This window comes from Homo sapiens, chromosome 6, assembly GCF_000001405.40.
Source record: "Homo sapiens chromosome 6, GRCh38.p14 Primary Assembly".
Lineage (NCBI taxonomy): Eukaryota > Metazoa > Chordata > Mammalia > Primates > Hominidae > Homo > Homo sapiens.
Window position 1 is genome coordinate 34780045 of NC_000006.12, and position 19905 is coordinate 34799949.

The following is a 19905-nucleotide window of genomic DNA, read 5'->3' on the forward strand; positions in this document are numbered from 1 at the left end:
CCAGAGGCTGAGGCAGGAGAATCGCTTGAATCCGGGAGGCAGAGGTTGCAGTGAGCTGAGATCACAACACTGGACTCCAGCCTGGGTGACAGAGCAAGACTCCGTCTCAAAAAAAAAAAAAAAAAAGATAAGGAGACATAAAAGAAGGTAAGATGTCTGCACTTTGGCCGGGCGCGGTGGCTCATGCTTGTAATCCCAGCACTTTGGGAGGCCGAGGCGGGCGGATCACAAGGTCAGGAGATCGAGACCAAGGTGAAACCCCGTCTCTACTAAAAATACAAAAAATTAGCCGGGCGTGGTGGCGGGCGCCTGTAGTCCCAGCTACTCGAGAGGCTGCAGCAGGACAATGGCGTAACCCGGGAGGCAGAGCTTGCAGTGAGTCGAGATTGCGCCACTGCACTCCAGCCTGGGCGACAGAGGGAGACTCCGTCTCAAAAAAAAAAAAAATGTCCACACTTCACTTGAACTGGTAAATGTCAACACCAGTAGATGTGATAAGGTGTGTATATATAATGTAATAACCCAGAGAAACAACTAAAAGCTATACAAAGAGATACACACAAAAACATGATAGATTCTTTATATTAATTTTTATTTTTATTTTATTTTATTTATTATTTATTTTTTATTTTTTTGAGATGGAATCTCGCTCTGTCGCCCAGGCTGGAGTGCAGTGGCGTCATCTCGGCTCACTGCAAGCTCCGTCTACCAGCTTCACGCCATTCTCCTGCCTCAGCCTCCTGAGCATCTGGGACCACAGGCGCCCAACACCACGCTCGGCTAATTTTTTTGTATTTTTAGTAGAGTCGAGGTTTCACCGTGTTAGCCAGGATGGTTTCGATTTCCTGACCTTGTGATCCACCCACCTCGGCCTCCCAAAGTGCAAGGATTACAGGCGTGAGCCACCGCGCCCGCACATTTTTATTTTATTTTATTTTATTTTTTGAGGCGGAGTCTCACTCTGTCACCCAGGCTGGAGTGCAGTGGCGCGATCTTGGCTTACTGCACGCTCCGCTTCCCCGGTTCACGCCATTCTCCTGCCTCAGCCTTCGAGTAGCTGGGACTACAGGTGCCCCCCGCTACATCCGGCTAATTTATTTATTTATTTATTTTTGTTGTATTTTTAGTAGAGACGGGGTTTCGCCGTGTTAGCCAGGATGGTCTCGATCTCCTGACCTCGTGATCCGCCCGCCTTGGCCTCCCAAAGTGCTGGGATTACAGGTGTGAGCCACGGCGCCCGGCCGATAGATTCTTTATTTTAAAACTTATTACAAAACTAATTAATCAAGACACTGTGGTACTTGCATAAGAATAGACATATAGATAAATGAAACAGAATTAAGAGTCCAGAAGTAAACCCTTGCGTTTGTGATCAATTGATTTTCACCAAGACAATTCAATGGGGAAGAAAATGGTTTCAACAAATGTTGCTAGGACAACTGGATATCCCCATGCAAAATTATGAAGTCGATTCCCTGCATCACACCATATACAAAAATTATATATGGGTCATGTTAAAATGGATCATATTCCTAAATGTAAGAGCTAAAACTATACAATCTTAGAAGAGAATATAGATGTAAATCTTCATGTCTTCAGATTAGGCAATGATTTCTTAGATATGACACCAAAAGCACAGCAACACAAGTTGGGGGAAGATAAACTGGGTATCAACAAAGTTTTTTGCACTTCATTTTTCTTTTTCTTTTTCTTTTTGTTTTTGAGACAGAGTCTCACTCTGTTGCCTAGGCTAGAGTACAGTGGCACAATCCCAGCTTACTGCAATCTCTGCCTCTCAGGTTTAAGCGATTCCCCTGCCTCAGCCACCTGAGTAGCTGGGACTATACGCGTGTGCCACCACACCTGGCTAACTTTTTTGTATTTTTAGTAGAGATGGGGTTTCACCATGTTGGCCAGGCTGGTCTTGAACTCCTGACCTCAGGTGATATGCCCACCTTGGCCTCCTGAAGTGCTGGGATTACAGGCGTGAGCCACCGTGCCCAGCCTGCACTTCATTTTTCTATCAGAAAAATTAAGACAACTCACAGAATGGGAGAAAGTCTTTGCAAATAATGTATCGTGTAAGGGACTTGTATCTACAATATATAAAGAAGTATAACTCAACAAATAAAAAGACAATTAAAAAATCGATGAGATCCGTAGAGACATTTTTTCCAAAGAAGATTTACAAATGGCCAAAAACCCATGAAAAGATATTCAACATTAGCCATCTAGGAAATGCACACAAATCCTTAGCCAAATATTGGCAATCAGAATTCAGTAATATATGAACATTATATACCATGACCAAAAGAGGTCTGTTTCGGGGATGCAGGCTGATTCAGTATTTGAAAATCATTAGGCTGGGCGTGGTGGCTCACGCCTGTAATCCCAACACTTTGAGAGGCTGAGGTGGGCAGATCACCTGAGGTCAGGAGTTTGAGACCAGCCTGATCAACATGGAGAAACCACATCTCTACTAAAAATACAAAATTAGCTGGGCGTGGTGGCACATGCCTATAATCCCAGCTACTAGGGGGGCTGAGGCAGGAGAATCACCTGAACCCGGGAGGTGGAGGTTGCGGTGAGCGGAGATCGTGCCATTGTACTCCAGCCTGGGCAACAAGAGTGAAACTCTGTCTCAAAAAAAAATTACTGCCGGGCGCGGTGGCTAACGCCTGTAATCCCAGCACTTTAGGACGCTGAGGCGGGTGGATCACCTGAGGTCAGGAATTCAAGACCAGCCTGACCAACATGGAGCAACCCCGTCTCTACTAAAAATACAAAATTTCCATCCTGGCCAACATGGTGAAACCCCATCTCTACTAAAAATTTAAAAATTAGCTGGGCGTGGTGGCATATGCCTGTAATCCCAGCTACTTCGGAGGTTGAGGCAGGAGAATCGCTTGAACCTGGGAGGCGGAGGTTGCGGTGAGCTGAGATCGTGCTATTGCACTCCAGCCTGGGCAACAAGAGTGAAACTCTGCCTCAAGAAAAAAAAAATAATAATATTAAATTTAATCCACCATGTTAACAGGCTAAATAAGAAAAATTCTTGATCATAGCATTTCATGCAGACAAAGCATTTGACAAAATTCAACACTTGATAAAAGTAGAGAAAAATAGAGAACTTCCTCAACTTGTTAAAGAGCATCCACAAAAATCTACAGCTGATCTATGTGTTGGCGAAAACTGAATGTTTTGCCCCTAAGTTTGGGAATAAGACAAAAATGTCCACTCTTAGCACTCTTTTTAACAAAGTACTTGAAGTTTTAGCTACCAGAAAAAATTAAAAGACATGCAGATCAGAAAGGAAGAAACAAAATTGTCCCAATTGCATATGACATAATTGTGTACATAAAAAATTCCAAGAAGGTAACTCACACCTGTAATCCCAGCACTTTGGGAGGCCGAGGTGGGAGGATCACTTGAGCCCCAGATGTTGAAGTCACAGTGAGCCTTGAAAGCACCACTACACTCCAGTCTGGGTGATGACAGAGCAAGACTCCATCTCATTAAAAAAAGAAAAAATTAAGGAATCTACAAAACGACCTCATACTACAAAATACTACTTCAACCTATAAAAAGAGCTAATGAGTGAGTTCAGCAAAGTTTCAAGGTACAAGATAAACATCCAAAAATAATGGTTTTTCTGTATACTAGCAATGAGCACGTGGACACATACATTAAAAATAACATAACTGCTCAAAAGAAAAAACAGATGTAAATCTAATAAAACTAGTATAGGCTGGGTATGCTAAAAAGTACATAGTGCTGATGAAAGAAATCACAGAAGATCAAAATAAATATATTAGAAGACTGAATATAATAAATATGTTTATTCACCCTAATTTGATATACACTTTTAACCCCATTCCTGTTAAAATTCCAGCAAGATGTTTGTAGATATAGACAGGATTATTCTAAAATTTAAATGGTTGGGCCGGGCATAGTAGCTCACGCCTGTAATTCCAGCACTTTGGGAGGCTGAGACGGGCAGATCGCTTGAGGCCAGCCTGGCCAACATGTCTCTACTGAAAATACAAAAATACGAAAATACTGAAAATACAAAAATTAGCCAGGCATGATGGCAGGCACCTGTAATCCCAGCTACTCAAGAGGTCGAGGCATGAGAATCACTTGAACTCAGGAGGTGGAGGTTGCAATGAGCTGAGATCGTGCCACTGCACTCCAGCCTGGGTGACTCTGTCTCAAAAAAATAAAAATAAAAATAAAAAATTTAAATGGGAAGATAAAGAAACTAGAATAGCAAAAACGATTTTGAGAAAGAATAGGCCGGGTGTGGTGGCCCACGCCTGTAATTCCAACACTCTGGAACACCTGGAGATTGCACCACTGCACTCCAGCCTGGGCAACATACTGAGACCCCATCTCTACAAAAATAAAAATTAGCTGGGTATGGTGGCATGCACTTGTGGTCCCAGTTACTGGGGAGGCTGAGGCAGGAGGATCATTTAAGCCCAGGAGGTTGAGGCTGTAGCTATGATCACACCACTGTACTCGGTGACAGGGCAAGATCCTGTCTCTTAAAAACAAAAAAGGAATAAAGTGGGAGGATTCTACCTGATTTCAAGACTTATTACATAGCTACACTTATCAAGACTGTGTGGTATTGGGAGAAGGACATAGATCAATGAAACTAAATAGAGATCCTAGAAATAGATCCACATAAATATGCCCAACTGGGCCAGGGGCAGTGGCTCACACCTGTAATCCCAGCACTTGGGAGGCCAAGGCAGGTGGATCACTTGAGGCGAGGATTTCAAGACCAGCCTGGGCAACATGGCAAAACCCCATCTTTACTAAAAATATGAAAGTTAGCTGGGCATGGTGGCAGGCGCCTGTAATCCGAGCTACTTGGGAGGCTGAGCCAGGAGAATTGCTTGAACCCGGGAGGCGGAGGTTGCCATGAGCCGAGATTGCACCACTGCACTTCAGTCTGGGCAACAGAGTGAGACTCTGTATGAAATATATATATATAGCTGGGTGGAGTGGCACGGGCCTGTAGTCCCAGCTACCTGGGAGGCTAAGGTAGGAAGACTGCTTGACCCCAAGATCGCACCATTGCCAACACACCTGGCCACAGAACACCTATTAAGAGGGAAAAAGACAAAGGCTGGCTTTGGTGGCTCATGCCTGTAATCCCAGCACTTTGGGAGGCCAAGGCGGGCGGATCACCTGAGGTCAGGAGTTCGAGACCAGCCTGACCAACATGGAGAAACCACGTCTCTACTAAAAATACAAAATTAGCTGGGCGTGGTGGCACATGCCTGTAATCCCAGCTACTTGGGAGGCTGAGGCAGGAGAATCGCTTGAACCCGGGAGGCGGAGGTTGCAGTGAGCCGAGATGGCGCCATTGCACTCCAGCCTGGGCAACAAGAGTGAAACTCCATCTCAAAAATAAAAAAAAAAATAAAATAAAATAAAAAAAGAAGAAAAAAGACAACCTACAGCCTGTGAGAAAATGTTTGCAAGGCCCAGCGTGGTGACTCAACGTCTGTAATCCCAGCCACTCAGGAGGCTGAGGTGGGTGGATCACTTGAGCCCAGGAATTTGAGACCAGCCTGGGCAACATGGTGAAACCTTGTCTTTACAAAAAAATACAAAAATTGTCTCCCTCTCTCTCTCCCTCTCCCTCTCCCTCACCCTCCCCCTCTCCCTCTCCCCTCTTTCCACGGTCTCCCTCTCCCTCTCCCTCTCTTTCCACGGCCTCCCTCTCCCTCTCCCCTCTTTCCACGGTCTCCCTCTCCCTCTCCCCTCTTTCCACGGTCTCCCTCTCCCTCTCTTTCCACGGTCTCCCTCTCATGCCGAGCCGAAGCTGGACTGTGCTGTTGCCATCTCGGCTCACTGCAACCTCCCTGCCTGATTCTCCTGCCTCAGCCTGCCGAGTGCCTGCAATTGCAGGCGCGCGGCCACGCCTGACTGGTTTTCGTATTTTTTTGGTGGAGACGGGGTTTCGCTGTGATGGCCGGGCTGGTCTCCAGCTCCTGACCGCGAGTGATCCGCCAGCCTCGGCCTCCCGAGGTGCCGGGATTGCAGACGGAGTCTCGTTAACTCAGTGCTCAATGGTGCCCAGGCTGGAGTGCAGTGGCGTGATCTCGGCTCGCTACAACCTCCACCTCCCAGCCGCCTGCCTTGGCCTCCCAAAGTGCCGAGATTGCAGCCTCTGCCCGGCCGCTACCCCGTCTGGGAAGTGAGGAGCGTCTCTGCCTGGCCGCCCATCGTCTGGGATGTGAGGAGCCCCTCTGCCTGGCTGCCCAGTCTGGAAAGTGAGGAGCGTCTCTGCCCGGCCGCCATCGCACCTAGGAAGTGAGGAGCGCCTCTTCCCGGCCGCCATCCCATCTAGGAAGTGAGGAGCGTCTCTGCCCGGCCGCCCATCGTCTGAGATGTGGGGAGCGCCTCTGCCCTGCTGCCCCGTCTGGGATGTGAGGAGCGCCTCGGCCCGGCCGCGACCCTGTCTGGGAGGTGAGGAGCGTCTCTGCCCGGCCGCCCTGTCTGAGAAGTGAGGAGACCCCCCGCCTGGCAACCGCCCCATCTGAGAAGTGAGGAGCCCCTCCGCCCTGCTGCCACCCCGTCTGGGAAGTGAGGAGCGTCTCCGCCCAGCAGCCACCCTGTCCAGGAGGGAGGTGGGGGTCAGCCCCCGCCAGGCCAGCCGCCCCGTCCGGGAGGGAGGTGGGGGGTCAGCCCCCCACCCGGCCAGCCGCCCCGTCCGGGAGGTGAGGGGTGCCTCTGCCCGGCCGCCCCTACTGGGAAGTGAGGAGCCCCTCTGCCCGGCCAGCCGCCCCGTCTGGGAGGGAGGTGGGGGAGTCAGCCCCCCGCCCGGCCAGCTGCCCCGTCCGGGAGGGAGGTGGGGGGGGTCAGCCCCCAACCCGGCCAGCCGCCCCGTCCGGGAGGTGAGGGGCGCCTCTGCCCGGCCGCCCCTACTGGGAAGTGAGGAGCCCCTCTGCCCGGCCACCACCCCGTCTGGGAGGTGTACCCAACAGCTCATTGAGAACGGGCCATGATGACAATGGCGGTTTTGTGGAATAGAAAAGGGGGAAAGGTGGGAAAAAGAATGAGAAATCAGATGGTTGCTGTGTCTGTGTAGAAAGAAGTAGACATGGGAGACTTTTCATTTTGTTCAGTACTAAGAAAAATTCTTCTGCCTTGGGATCCTGTTGATCTATGACCTTACCCCCAACCCTGTGCTCTCTGAAACATGTGCTGTGTCCACTCAGGGTTAAATGGATTAAGGGCGGTGCAAGATGTGCTTTGTTAAACAGAGGCTTGAAGGCAGCATGTCCGTTAATAGTCATCACCACTCCCTAATCTCAAGTACCCAGGGACACAAACACTCTGCCTAGGAAAACCAGAGACCTTTGTTCACTTGTTTATCTGCTGACCTTCCCTCCACTATTGTCCTATGACCCTGCCAAATCCCCCTCTGGGAGAAACACCCAAGAATGATCAATAAAAAAATAAAAAAATAAAAAAAATACAAAAATTAGCTGGGTGTGATGGCACATGCCTGTAGTACCAGCTACTCAGTGGGGTGGGGAGAGGGTTGAGGTGGGAGAATTGCTTGAACCTTGGAGGTGGAGGCTGCAGTGAACGTGATTGCGCCACTGCACTCCAACCTGGATGACAGAGTGAGACCCTGTCTCAGAAAAAAAAAAGAAGAAGAAAGAAAGAAAGATTTGCAAATGACATACCAAACAAGAGACTAATATTTCAAATACATAAATAACTCTCAAAACTCAAGGGTAAAAAAAGAAAATCCAATTAGAATGTGGGCAAAAGATATGAAGAGGGATTTCACTGAAGCAGATATACAGATGGCAAATCATGTGAAAAGGTATTCAATGTCATTGGCCATTAGGGAAATACAAATCAAAACTACAATAAGGTATCACTACATACCTATCAAATGGCTAAAATAAATATAGTGACAACACAAATTATGGTGAAGATACAGAGAAACTGGATCACTTACACACTGCTGGTGGGAATGTGAAATGATAATAGTCATTCTGAATACCAGTTTGGCAGTTTTTAGATATGCTAAACATTCAACTACCATACAACCCAGCTATTGCACTCCTGGGCACTTATCCCAGCAAAATGAAAACTAATGCTCACACAAACACCTGTACACAAATATTTATAGCAGGCTTATTCATAATAATAGAAAACTGGAAACAGCCCAGATGTCCTTCAGCAGGTGAATGGTTAAGCAAACTGTGGTATATCTATATCATGGAATACTACTCATCAGGAAAAAGGAACAAACTATTCATACACATAACTACCTGGATGAATCTCCAGAGAATTATGCTGATGGAAAAAGTACCCTCAGGCCGGGCACGTGGTGGCTCACACCTGTAATCTCAGCTCTTTGGGAGGCCGAAGTGGGAGTATCGCTTGAGCCCAGGAGTTCAATGCCAGCCCGGGCAACATAGCAAGATCCTGTCTCTACCAAAAATAAAACAATTAGCCAGGCATGGTGGCATGTGCCTGTAGTCCCAGCCACTCAGGAGGCTGAGGTGGGAGGATCACTTGAGACCAGGAGTTGGAGGCTACAGTGAGCTATGATTGCACCACTGCACTCCATCCCAGGCAACAACACAGCGAGACCCCATCTCTAAAAATAATAATAAAAATTAAAAATAAATAATAAGAAAAAGTACAGTCCCCAAAGGTTACATACTATATGGTTCCATTTATATAACATTCTTGAAATTACAAAATTATAGAAATGGAGAACACATTAGTGGTTGCTGGGGTTAAGGAGGTGGTGGGTACTGGAGGAAGATTGGGGTGATTATAAAAGGGCAACAGTGGCTGGGCGTGGTGGCTCACGCCTGTAATCCCAGCACTTTGGGAGGCTGAGGCAGGCAGATCACCTGTGGTCAGGAGTTTGAGACCAGCCTGGCCAACATAGTGAAACCCCGTCTCTTCTAAAATACAAAAATTAGCCTGGCGTGGTGGCATGCGCCTGTGATCCCAGCTACTCTGGAGGCTAAGGCAGGAGAATTGCTTGAACTTGGGAGGCAGAGGTTGCAGTGAGCCAAGTTCACGCCATTGCACTCCAGCCTGAGCGACAGAGTGAGACTCCATCTACAGAAAAAAAAGGGCAACACTGATGGACATGTTCTGTATATTATCTATTGATGTCAATATCTTGGTTGTAATATTGCAATATAGTTTTGCAAGATGTTATTATTGGGGAGAACTAGGTAAAGGATACAAGGATTTATTTGTATTATTTCTCTCTTTCTCTCTCTCTCTTTTTTTTTTTTTTTTTTTGAGATAGAGTCTTGCTCTGTTACCCAGGCAGGGGCATGATCACTCACTGCAGCCTTCGCCTCCTGGGTTCAAACAATTCTCCTGTGTCAGCCTCCCAAGTAGCTGGGATTACAGGCACCCACCAACACGCCCAGCTAATTTTTGTATTTTTAGTAGAGATGGGGTTTCACCATGTTGGCCAGGCTGGTCTTGAACTCCTGACCTCAAGTGATCCCCCCGCCTTGGCCTCCCAAAGTGCTAGGATTACAGGCATGAGCCACCACGGCTGGCCTATTTGTATTATTTCTTACAACTGAATGTTAATCTATAATCATCTCAATATAAAATGTTTAATTTGAAAAAAATGCATGGATTGGCTTCAGATCCCTTTTGTCTTTTATTTAATTAAATTAATTAATTAATTAATTAATTTTTGAGATGGAGTTTCTCTCTTGTTGCCCACGCTGGAGTGCAATGGTGCCATCTCGGCTCACCGCAACCTCCGCCTCCCAGGTTCAAGCAGTTCTCCTGCCTCAGCCTCCCGAGTAGCTAGGATTACAGGCATGCACCACCACACCCGGCTAATTAGTATTTTTAGTAGAGACGGGGTTTCTCCATGTTGAGGCTGGTCTCGAACTCCTGACCTCAGGTGATCTGCTCGCCTCGATCTCCCAAAGTGCTGGGATTACAGGCGTGAGCCACCACACCTGGCCTCCTTTTGTCTTTATATGTCTCAGATTCTTAGAATTACAAGGAAGGATAAACACATTAATACTGTTGGTGAGAATATTAACTCTCCTATTTCCTGGTCCCTAAAGAGGCCATATTTTTGTAAGGAACGAATTTTTGCATTCAACAAAAATAACTCATTCACCAGGCGTGATGACGCATTCAGTGAGGATGCTGAGTCTCTGAGCATGAGGTAGGTTTTGCCTTACATAGCTGATTCAGATGTCCAATCTTCTTTGCTGGGGTGCTCCAACAAAGGAAGCCTGAAATGCAAAAATTGCTGTGAGGCCCCTGTGGCTGAGGACCGAATTGGGAAAAAGCAATAATAGCCGATAACATTGGCAAGAAACCTCCTCTTCCATAGGCCCTATTGGTCCCTGTTATATATTCTGGTGAGAGGTGGGCAGAGGGACAATTAATGATATTCAGTCCTACTGGAGGGGAGTGGGTAGTAAAGCACCCGGGCCGAGGATGATTTGCTTCCCTTTTATATAATATTTTGGGGACTTCTGGGAAAAATTGAACTTACTATGACTAAGGGATAGGCATAGGAATGCATGGTGTGTTATTTTTGAGACAGTCTTGCTCAGTCGACCAGGTTGGGGTGCAGTTGGGTGATCTCAGCTCACTGCAACCTCTGCCTCCCAGGCTCAAGGGATCCTCCCACCTCAGCCTCCCGAGTAGCTGGGATTACAGGCGCGTGCCACCACGCCCGGCTAATTTCTGTATTTTTTGTAGAGATGAGATTTCGTCATGTTACCCAGGCTGATCTTGAACTCCTGGGCCCAAGCGATCCGTCTGTCTCGGCCTCTCAAAGTGCTGGGATTACAGGGGAGAGCCACCGCGGCTGGCCTGATTATTCATTTTAAAAATTTAACATATATATGGTTTACCGTGCTTAGACTATCTCTGGAATTAGGGAGTAATTGTTTTGAGGGAAACAATTGTTTTGGAGCACCCTGAATGACTGACGGGGGAGACAGGGAGACATGGTTGAATGTCTTTGGTTTTATATTAAAGAATGACTACATTTAAAATGCAATATTAGCTGGGGGCCAGACTTCCTATAAGGCTGTCTCAAGAGGTTTTTGTTTTTCTTTTTTTCTCCAAGTTTTTGCTTGAAGGCTTAAGTCCGGAGAACTGTCACCTTTCCATCTTTGCCATTGGGTCTACGGGTGTCGCCGGCATGCGGGTTACACTTTTAAGCATATGGATGAAATAGAGTGCATCTAACACTTGACTGGGAGTCAGAATATTTGGGTTCTAGTCCTGGGTGGCCCTAAGTAGGTGACCTTGGGAAAGCTCTTATTTCCCAGGGCTTCCGTTTCCGTATTTGCACAGTGAAGAAGCTGATCTCTAAAGTCCTAGGTCATTTTAACAATTGACCGTCTCAGTTTCTTCTGACCCCACATTTGGGAGGGAGTGCTTCTGCAGTGAGCCGCTCAGGTCTTGAGTAAATACATTTTGCCCATCGGTTCAGGAGACGAGACTAAGGGAGGCACCAAGAGGGTGACGGGCGCCCCCTTCCCAGCTCTCCAGCACAAAGCCCTTCGCAGGTGACCGCAGCGGTTGGTTCGCGTGTCCCATCTATGGGTCTGTGAGGTCCTTGATACTACTTTTCAGTCCCCAGCCCGATACCTGGAGTACAGCTGGTGCTCAACAAATACTGAGTGAATGTGTGAGGGAAATAAATGAGAGGCGGACGCTGGCATCCGGGAGCTGCGCAATGATCTAACGAATTTCTGCAAAAATTACAACTACCCCGCCTTTCTCCTAGGTTTCAAGGCGACTGCCGGGTGCGAAAGGAACCGCACACCCCTCAGAGGCGAAAGAAGCGTTTCAGACCCGAGAGGCGGACGGGAGCGCGGAGGGAGGAAGCTCGAGCCAGCCAGCCCCGGCGCTGCGCGCGCCGCCGCCCCTCACCGCGCGCGCCTCTGGCCGCCGCAAGCAAGGCCGGCGGGTGGCGCGCGATCTTCGCGTCGCTCTGGGCGGGCGGCCGCGGCGCCGCGCTGGTGGGTGGGATCGTGGCGGAGCGCCAGGCGCCCAAAGAGGGGCGAGAAAGCGCCATGGCGGCGGCGGCGGCTGTGTCCGGTGCTCACGCCGCGGCGAGGTGAGGGGACCGCCTCTTCTCCACAACTGAGGAGGCCACAGCTGCCGGCCCACCCGCCTTCCACGCGGGCCGCGGCTCCGGCATGGCCGGGATCATTAAGAAGCAGATCCTGAAACACCTGTCCCGGTGAGAGCGCCAGCGCCGGCCCCCGGCGGTCCTGGGCCCTTCCTAACCCTCTCCGACCTCCTCCCTGACGCCGCGCTCCGGGCCCAGTCTGCCTCTCTCCAGCCCGGAGCCCGGACTCCGTGGCAGCCCCTGCCTAACTCGAGCCCGGACAGCTTCCCCCCGCGCCCGCCGGCGCCCACCGTTGTCGCCGCTCTGTGCTTCCCCCGCGCTGGGCCCTCCTGTCCTGGCGCCGGTGCCGCTAGTCTCTCCCCACTCTAACAACCCCCTGGACTTTTTCTTTCCCCTCAAGGCCCTTCTGGCCTGCTGTCCCCACCTCCCACACCTCCAAGCAGGTCACCCCGTGCTCCCTTGACCGTCTTTCCGAGGCCCCCACGAAGCCCACTCTTGCCTGCCCGAACCAGCTGTCTTCTCTCTGCTTTCTCTGGCCTTCGGGCCCCTGCCCCTTCCTTTGGGCCTCTGACCGCCCTCCTCTCCCAGATCCTATGCCCCTGCCCGTTCTAAATAACCCTGCTACCAGTCCTGCTAAGCCATTTCCCCTTAGATTTCCAACGCTGAGGCTGGTTTTCTCTTTCCCAGGAGCTCCCACCTCCTCCTCTTCTGTCTGACCCTGTTGCATCACCCTTGGAAAAGCCCAGCACCCAGGGCCGTTCCTCTGGACTTCTTTTTCCCTCTTTTGCTTTTCTTTTCATTACATAGCCTAATTGGAGAAAGGTCATGAGAGTTGGGGATAAAGTTTCCGCAACCTTCCCTTTAAGATGTGGAGGTTTTTTTGACAGCCTGTGAAAAGAACCAACAACGTCCGCTTCTGCTTTGCAGCCTTTTATTAAGCAATGTTATGTCGCTGAGTAATTTGGCATGAGGAGGCTGGCCGGCAAAACAGTTTTCAGGTGTAGCCGAGTGACTGCTGAACCCCGTGTTGCGATTGCAGGTTGTCACAACCAGTGGCCACAAAAATTGGGAGCTAGGTTTCACTTAGTTTTCACTCCTTATTCCATGCTGGAGTTGGTGATGGTTAATACCTTAACCAGCCTTTGTATCTCAAGTAGAGAGTGACCCAGGGCTTGGCTGCACAGTGGTCAGTGGTTTTCAGGAGGTAGGGGTGAGGGGAGATGTCGGTCAACATGGGACACCCAGGCTTGCACTGATGTTTCTTTCTGGGTCTTCTCATTGCTTTGGTAAGCGGTGTGTGAGACACTTTTCCTGCCACTGCATCCCCTTTTCCTGGCTGACACTTTGATCTGAGACTTTAATTAGTAATTAGACCCAGATCCATCTTTTGGTTAATCACCACGTAGTAAAAGAAAAAGCACATTGGAGGCTGGTGCTGGAAAGTGCCTTTGGACCTTTTACTCAGATTAACGTAATATATTCTTTTTCAGGTGATAGTAATCTAGATGTTCCATGAGTCTGGTTTTGTGTAAAGATATAATAGTATTTGGGGCATGACCAAAGATTGCAGAATGGAACAGATAACTTAACCAGAGGAGAATTGTATAATTTGAAAGGACATAGAATTTTAGGGCTTAGAGATGATCTCACCTATCATAGCATTGTTGTTTAAGAGCCTGGGTTCTTTCTGATTTACTTTCTCTAAAATGGGGATAAGAACAGTATCTACTTCAAGGGTACAAAAAAAAAAAAAAAGAATGAATAAGACCTACTGTTTGTCCAGCCCAGCCAACATGATGAAACCCTGTCTCTACTAAAATACAGAAATTAGCCTGGCATGGTGGTACAAGTCTGTAATCCCAGCTACCTGGGAGGCTGAGGCAGGAGGATCGCTTCAGCTCGGGAGGCGGAGGTTGCAGTGAGCCAAGATTTCGCCACAGCACTCCAGCCTAGGTGACAGAGCGAGACTGTCTCAAAAAAAAAAAAGTATATTTTAAGATAAAGTATGTAATTGAATTGTTTGTAACTCAAAGGATAAATGCTTGAGAGGATGGATACTCCATTCTGCATGATGTGTTGATTTCACATTGCGTGCCTATATCAAAACATCTCATGTACCCCATAAATATATACACTACTGTGTACCCACAAAAATTAAAAATTAAAGGTTATTGTGTTACATGAATTAATATATGTAAGGACTTAGCACAGTGCCTAACATACACTATGTGCTCAATAAAACATGAGGTATGGTTATTTTTTGGATCACAATTTGTGTGACAATTTGACATAAGCTATAGACCTTATCTCCGGAAAAATTCATATACGCAAACAGGTAATTTTTATATAAGATTAAGAGGAAGGAGCAGTTATAAACCCCTGAAGCACATGCCTGAATCCCTCAAGGCATCTTGGAACTAGGTGAATAATCCCTGATCTAGTTTCGTACCTCATTTTATGGCTGAGGAAACTAAAGCCTGGAGAAGATAAGTGACTTGCCTAAGTTGCATAGGAAGGTAAGGTAATGGAACAGAACCTAATTCTGGTACACTTTTCTCTGTAATACACAGATATTCTGTGCACTCCTATGAACGTAGAGTTTTTTTGTTTTTTTTTTTTTGAGACGGAGTCTCACTCTGTCACCAGGCTGGAGTGCAGTGGCGCGATCTCGGCTCACTGCAACCTCCAACTACCGGGTTCAAGAGATTCCCCTGCCTTAGCCTCCTGAGTAGCTGGGACTACAGGCATGCGCCACCACGCCCAGCTAATTTTTTTTTTGTATTTTAGTAGAGATGGGGTTTCACCATGTTGGCGAGGATGGTCTCGATCTCCTGACCTCGTGATCCACCTGCCTCGGCCTCCCAAAGTGCTGGGATTACAGGCGTGAGCCACCACGCCTAGCCTTGTTTTTGTTTTTTAGAGACGGAATCTTGCTTTGTGCCTAGGCTGGAGTGCAGTGGCGCGATCATGGCACTCTACAGCCTTGACCTCCCAGGCTCAAGTGATCCTCCTGCCTCAGCCTCCTGAGTAGCTGAGACCATGCACCACCATGCCCCTGGCTAATTTAAAAATTTCTTTGTAGAGATCAAGTCTTGCTATGTTGCCCATGCTGGTCTTGAACTCCTGGCTTCAAGGAATCCTGCCTCAGCCTCCCAAAGTGCCGGGATTACAGGGGTGAGCCACTGCGCCCAGCCTGAACATACAGTTTTTTTTGTTTTTTGTTTTTTTTTTTGAGACTGAGTCTCACTCTGTCGCCCAAGCTGGGGTGCAGTGGCACGATCTCGGCTCACTGCAACCTCTGCCTCCTGGGTTCAAGCGATTCTCCTGTCTTGCCCTCCCAAGTAGCTGGGACTACAGGCGCGTGCCACCACACCCGGCTGATTTTTTTTTTTTTTTTTTAGTAGAGACAGGGTTTCACCATGTTAGCCAGGATGGTCTCGATCTCCTGACCTCGTGATCCGCCTGCCTCAGCCTCCCAAAGTGCTGGGATTACAGGCGTGAGCCACCGTGCCTGGCCTGAACATATAATTTTTAAAGAAAAATTTTAGCAGTATATGCTTACACATTCCTTGGCGAACACAGTGCCTTTTTTATTAATAGATGAAGTAGGAATAAGTATCACAGACATTGGGGAAAATTTCTGATTTTCTCAGCATTGGGCAGGGGACTGAGGAAGAGGTCACATTATAGTTGCAATTTCAGGACTCCAGGAAGAGGTGGTAAATTATGAGTCTTGTTAGGGGAAAGGCCAAACTCCTGGGGCTTTTGTGTTTGTTTAGCTTGGAAAAGCTGCCTAATCACATGTGACATTTGTGTCTCTGTGTAGTCTTTACCACATACAGGCTAGCCTGCCTGGGGAGGAACTATGACTCTGTGGCTTCCCAAACCTGATGGGGAAAGAGAGAGACGGGAAGGCATATCAAGTTAAATAAAGATATAGTGTATTAAATAAATACTGTAGGTGTTTGATAATTACTTGTTGCTGATGATGCCATTTGACCTACAGGAGAATGGCCCACAGCAGAGAGGATACACCAGTGAGTCATATTATGCTTATTTGGACATGAAGTTTTTCAGATGATAAAGTATCTTGTTGGAATGCACCCTCCTTAGTAGTAGAGTATTTTGGTAAACGAGATTTGAAGAGAATGGTATTCAATATGATTTTCTTAAATGCCTACCCTAGGCCAGGCACTAATCTGGGCACTGGAGATGCAGTGAGGAAGAAATATAAATGCCTTTTAAAGGGTTTAACTCTTGGTTTTCATGACTGCTGCTCAATGCAAATAGCTTTAATGCCCAGTATTCATTTAAATAGACCTTGGAAGAAACCTTTTCTTAGAAACACAAAGCAATGATTTAAAAAATATTCAAAATTGATTTTTCACTAAATTAGGTTTTTCTTGTTTTACGTGACCTAAGCTAATGACCTTTCGTTATACAAATAAGAAGAAATATGATCAATTGTAAAGAAAGGCAAGCATCTATCGTTAATGGAAGGAGCATGGGCTCTGGAGCCAAACATGCCAGATTCACCTTCCAGCCCTGCCACTAATCAGCAGGGCAGCCTTTTGCAGTGGTGCAATCTCGGTTCATTGCAACCTCTGCCCCCCCGAGTTCAAGTGATTTTCCTGCCTCATCCTCCCGAGTAGCTGGGACTGCAGGTGCACGCCACCACGCCCGGCTAATTTTTGTATCTTTAGTAGAGATGGGGTTTCATCATGTTGGCCAGGATCGTCTTGATCTCTTGACCTGGTGATCCGCCTGCCTTGGCCTCCCAAAGTGCTGGGATTACAGGCGTGAGCCACTGCGCCCGGCCCTGAGCCTTAGTTTTCTTATCTGTAAAAGATAAGGAGGAAGAATAATACATACCTAGTAGTTTTTTTTGGCGCATTGGGGATAAAGTTTTTATTATAGTGCCTGACATATAAATAGATGTTTAATAAAGAGTCGCTATATAATGTAGCCAAAGAAGTTAGGTCCACTGTGATGGCATGGATGACAGAAACCCGGCTAGCTCTTTTAAAACCCATCAGGAGCCTTAATTATTTATTTTAAATGACCGCAGGAAATGTGAACCTCAGCGATAGAGACCTGGCTGATAGACATGATAGATATTTTGAAAACATGTTAGATGAAATTCAGAGGCATAGAAGAGTTCAGCATTTCTTTTGGAGAATAAGAGAGCCTGATTGCAAATTTAGCCCTCTTAGTTCATGATGACTGCCTCCACTCATCATCTTGATGAACACTGAGGAGCAGCAAAGATCTTAGAGATCATCGGGGCCAGCCTCCAGTTGATAGTAGGAGTTCCAGGCTCAGAGAGGCTGTTACTTTTCCAAGGTCACTTAGGTGGAAGCTTGTCGGACTAGTCACAACTTCCAGTCATGTTCTTTTTACACTAGACTTTAGTTATTATCACGTTCTTTTCCAAAATAATTATTTCATGCATTTTCTAGTAATAGTTAAATCCTATGTTTCTGTTTCCCTTTCTCATTTTCTTGTGTTGCTTCAGAATAAAGCACTTTTATTTACTTAGCAAGTATTTAATAATAGCCCACTGTGCTAATAAGCACTTTACAAATCTTAAGACAATTTAGTCCCCATAATAACCCTATGAGGTGCATATTAGGCATATTTTATAGATGAAGAAAGGAAGCACAGAAAAGTTAAATAACTTACCCAAAGTTGTAACTAGTAAGTGATAGAGATTCAAATGCAGGCATTCCAATTCCAGAGCTGTGCTCTTCAACCACTCTGCTGCTATAATGCCTCCCATCTATTGAGTGTTTCAAACTGAACATGATCATGTCACTAGCAGCCACCTGAAGAAACAATATTACTAGCATCTGAGAAGCTTCCCACCCTGCCCTGTGTCTCCTTCCAGTCATTATCTCCACCAAAGGGTAACCAATGTCCAGATTTCTAACAGCATAGATTCAATTTTGTATTTTATATAAATTGAATTATATTTATACATTTATGTCTGGCTTCTTTAGTGCAAGATTTGTGAGATTAATCCATATTTTGCATCAAGTTGTAGATTCTTTTTCATTGCTGTATAGCATTTCATTATGTGATAATACCTCAGTTTACTTGTACATTTTACTGTTGATGGACTTCTGGATACCAGTTTAGGGCCGTTATGAACAGCGCTACTAGAAACATTCTAGTACATGTCCTTTAAACAAATGTACGCATTTCTGTTGGGAATATATGTAGGGTAGAATTTTTAGATTGTAGAATATGTATATGTTTAGCTTTAATGGATACACTAAACCATTTTCCAAAGTGGCTATACCAATTTACATTTCCACCAGAAGTGTGTGAGGGATCTGATTATTTTATATCCTTGCCAGTGCTTTGCATTGTAGCCATTCTGGTGAATGTATTTTTAATTTTCTTTCTTTCTTTTTTTTTTTTTTTTTTTACTTTGTCTGTGGTAAACAAGATAGGTATTTTATTTTTGCTGTCAGTTCAGTTTTTAGATTCTGAGGTATTTAAAATTTTAGTCACAAGCATATATCAGAACCTTGAAAGCATAAGATCTTTTTTGGAGTAATGTTCAAATTACAAAGGTACAATGAAAATAATTAGGGTTATTTCTGACCATTAACCTATAACATTTCTTACTTGGAATGGATGTAATGCTCAGCCCTCTGTCAAAATGACAATCATGTACATTAAGAGAAAGGAGGGGCTATTCTCCAGGCATTTGGGTTTTTGTAAATATTTGATCTTTAGGCTACCCTGGATTTTATTTGTTTGTTTTTTTGGAGACAGGGTCTCGCTCTGTTGCCCAGGCTGGAGTGCAGTGCCATGATCTTGCCTCACAGCAACCCCCACCTCCTGGGCTCCTGTGATCCTCCTGCCTCAGCCTCCTGAGTAGCTGAGACTATAGGTGCCCGCCACCAGGCCTGGCTAATTTTTGTATTTTTAGTAGAGACAGGGTTTCACCATGTTGGCCGGGCTGGTCTTGAACTCCAGACCTCAAGTGATCCGCCCACCTCAGCCTCCCAAAGTGCTGGAATTACAGGCGTGAGCCACCATACCTGGCCTAGGCTACCCTAGATATTAATGAAATAGTTTCATACTTGCTTTGTAATCTTGCCCCATTGGCATAGCATTTTATCTTTATTAAACAAATGAAAATTTAAATAGCCAGGCATGGTGGTTCACACCTGTAGTCCCAGCTACTTGGGAGGCTGAAGCAGGAGGATCACTTGAGCCTGGGAGGCTGAGGCTGCAGTGAGCTAAGGTCATGCCACTGCACTCCAGCCTGGGTGACAGAGTGAGACCCTGTCTGGGAAAAAAAAAAAAAGTATTTAAAAGCAATAAAATTTTCAAAGCAGTACTGTAGTATGTATTTGACATTCAACAGCATAATATATGGTTCACAGTAATGAAAATTAACTGCTTCGAAAAATTGAGAAGCATGTCAATGTAGCAGAAAGAACCAGGCTTTGGATTCCAAAAAGTGGCTGTGAATTTTGACTCTGCTACTTCTAAGCTAGACATTCAGCAAGTTTTTTAGCTTCTCCAAGTTTCAATTTCTTCATCTGTAAAATGGGCATAATAACGCATAATGCTTTGAGGATTAGAAATAATGTATAAATCTCCTTGGTCCTGAAAAAGTATTCCATAAACAATAACCATTACAATTTATCTTTACTTATTAGAGTAGCTCAAGAGAGACGACTGTTAGTTTTTGGAGATAGTACTTTTTTTTTTTTCATTATCTTCAAGGTTATGCCAGACTTTTCCAG

General features: G+C 46.3%; 1 protein-coding gene across 1 annotated transcript in view, besides 5 other annotated features; it reads left to right on the plus strand.

Moving 5' to 3' along the window:
• Positions 11282-11371: an enhancer, noted in NCBI's record as "active region_24388". NCBI's record gives its function as "activates an Ori minimal core promoter by ATAC-STARR-seq in GM12878 lymphoblastoid cells {active_cell/tissue: GM12878}" and the evidence as "EXISTENCE:reporter gene assay evidence [ECO:0000049][PMID:35858748]".
• Positions 11392-11441: an enhancer, noted in NCBI's record as "active region_24389". NCBI's record gives its function as "activates an Ori minimal core promoter by ATAC-STARR-seq in GM12878 lymphoblastoid cells {active_cell/tissue: GM12878}" and the evidence as "EXISTENCE:reporter gene assay evidence [ECO:0000049][PMID:35858748]".
• Positions 11452-11501: an enhancer, noted in NCBI's record as "active region_24390". NCBI's record gives its function as "activates an Ori minimal core promoter by ATAC-STARR-seq in GM12878 lymphoblastoid cells {active_cell/tissue: GM12878}" and the evidence as "EXISTENCE:reporter gene assay evidence [ECO:0000049][PMID:35858748]".
• Positions 11679-12215: an enhancer, noted in NCBI's record as "H3K27ac hESC enhancer chr6:34759500-34760036 (GRCh37/hg19 assembly coordinates)". NCBI's record gives its function as "activates a minimal SCP1, AML or CMV promoter by ChIP-STARR-seq in naive H9 embryonic stem cells {active_cell/tissue: H9 hESC(naive)}" and the evidence as "EXISTENCE:reporter gene assay evidence [ECO:0000049][PMID:30033119]".
• Positions 11802-12161: a silencer, noted in NCBI's record as "silent region_17082". NCBI's record gives its function as "represses an Ori minimal core promoter by ATAC-STARR-seq in GM12878 lymphoblastoid cells {active_cell/tissue: GM12878}" and the evidence as "EXISTENCE:reporter gene assay evidence [ECO:0000049][PMID:35858748]".
• Positions 12039-19905, plus strand: part of BLTP3A (bridge-like lipid transfer protein family member 3A) — an 85432-nt gene continuing 77565 nt past the window's right edge. The window contains exon 1 of the mRNA NM_017754.4: positions 12039-12250. Coding sequence (NP_060224.3) covers positions 12207-12250 — 44 coding nt within the window. The 5' untranslated portion in view covers positions 12039-12206. The remainder of the gene's footprint in view (positions 12251-19905) is intronic.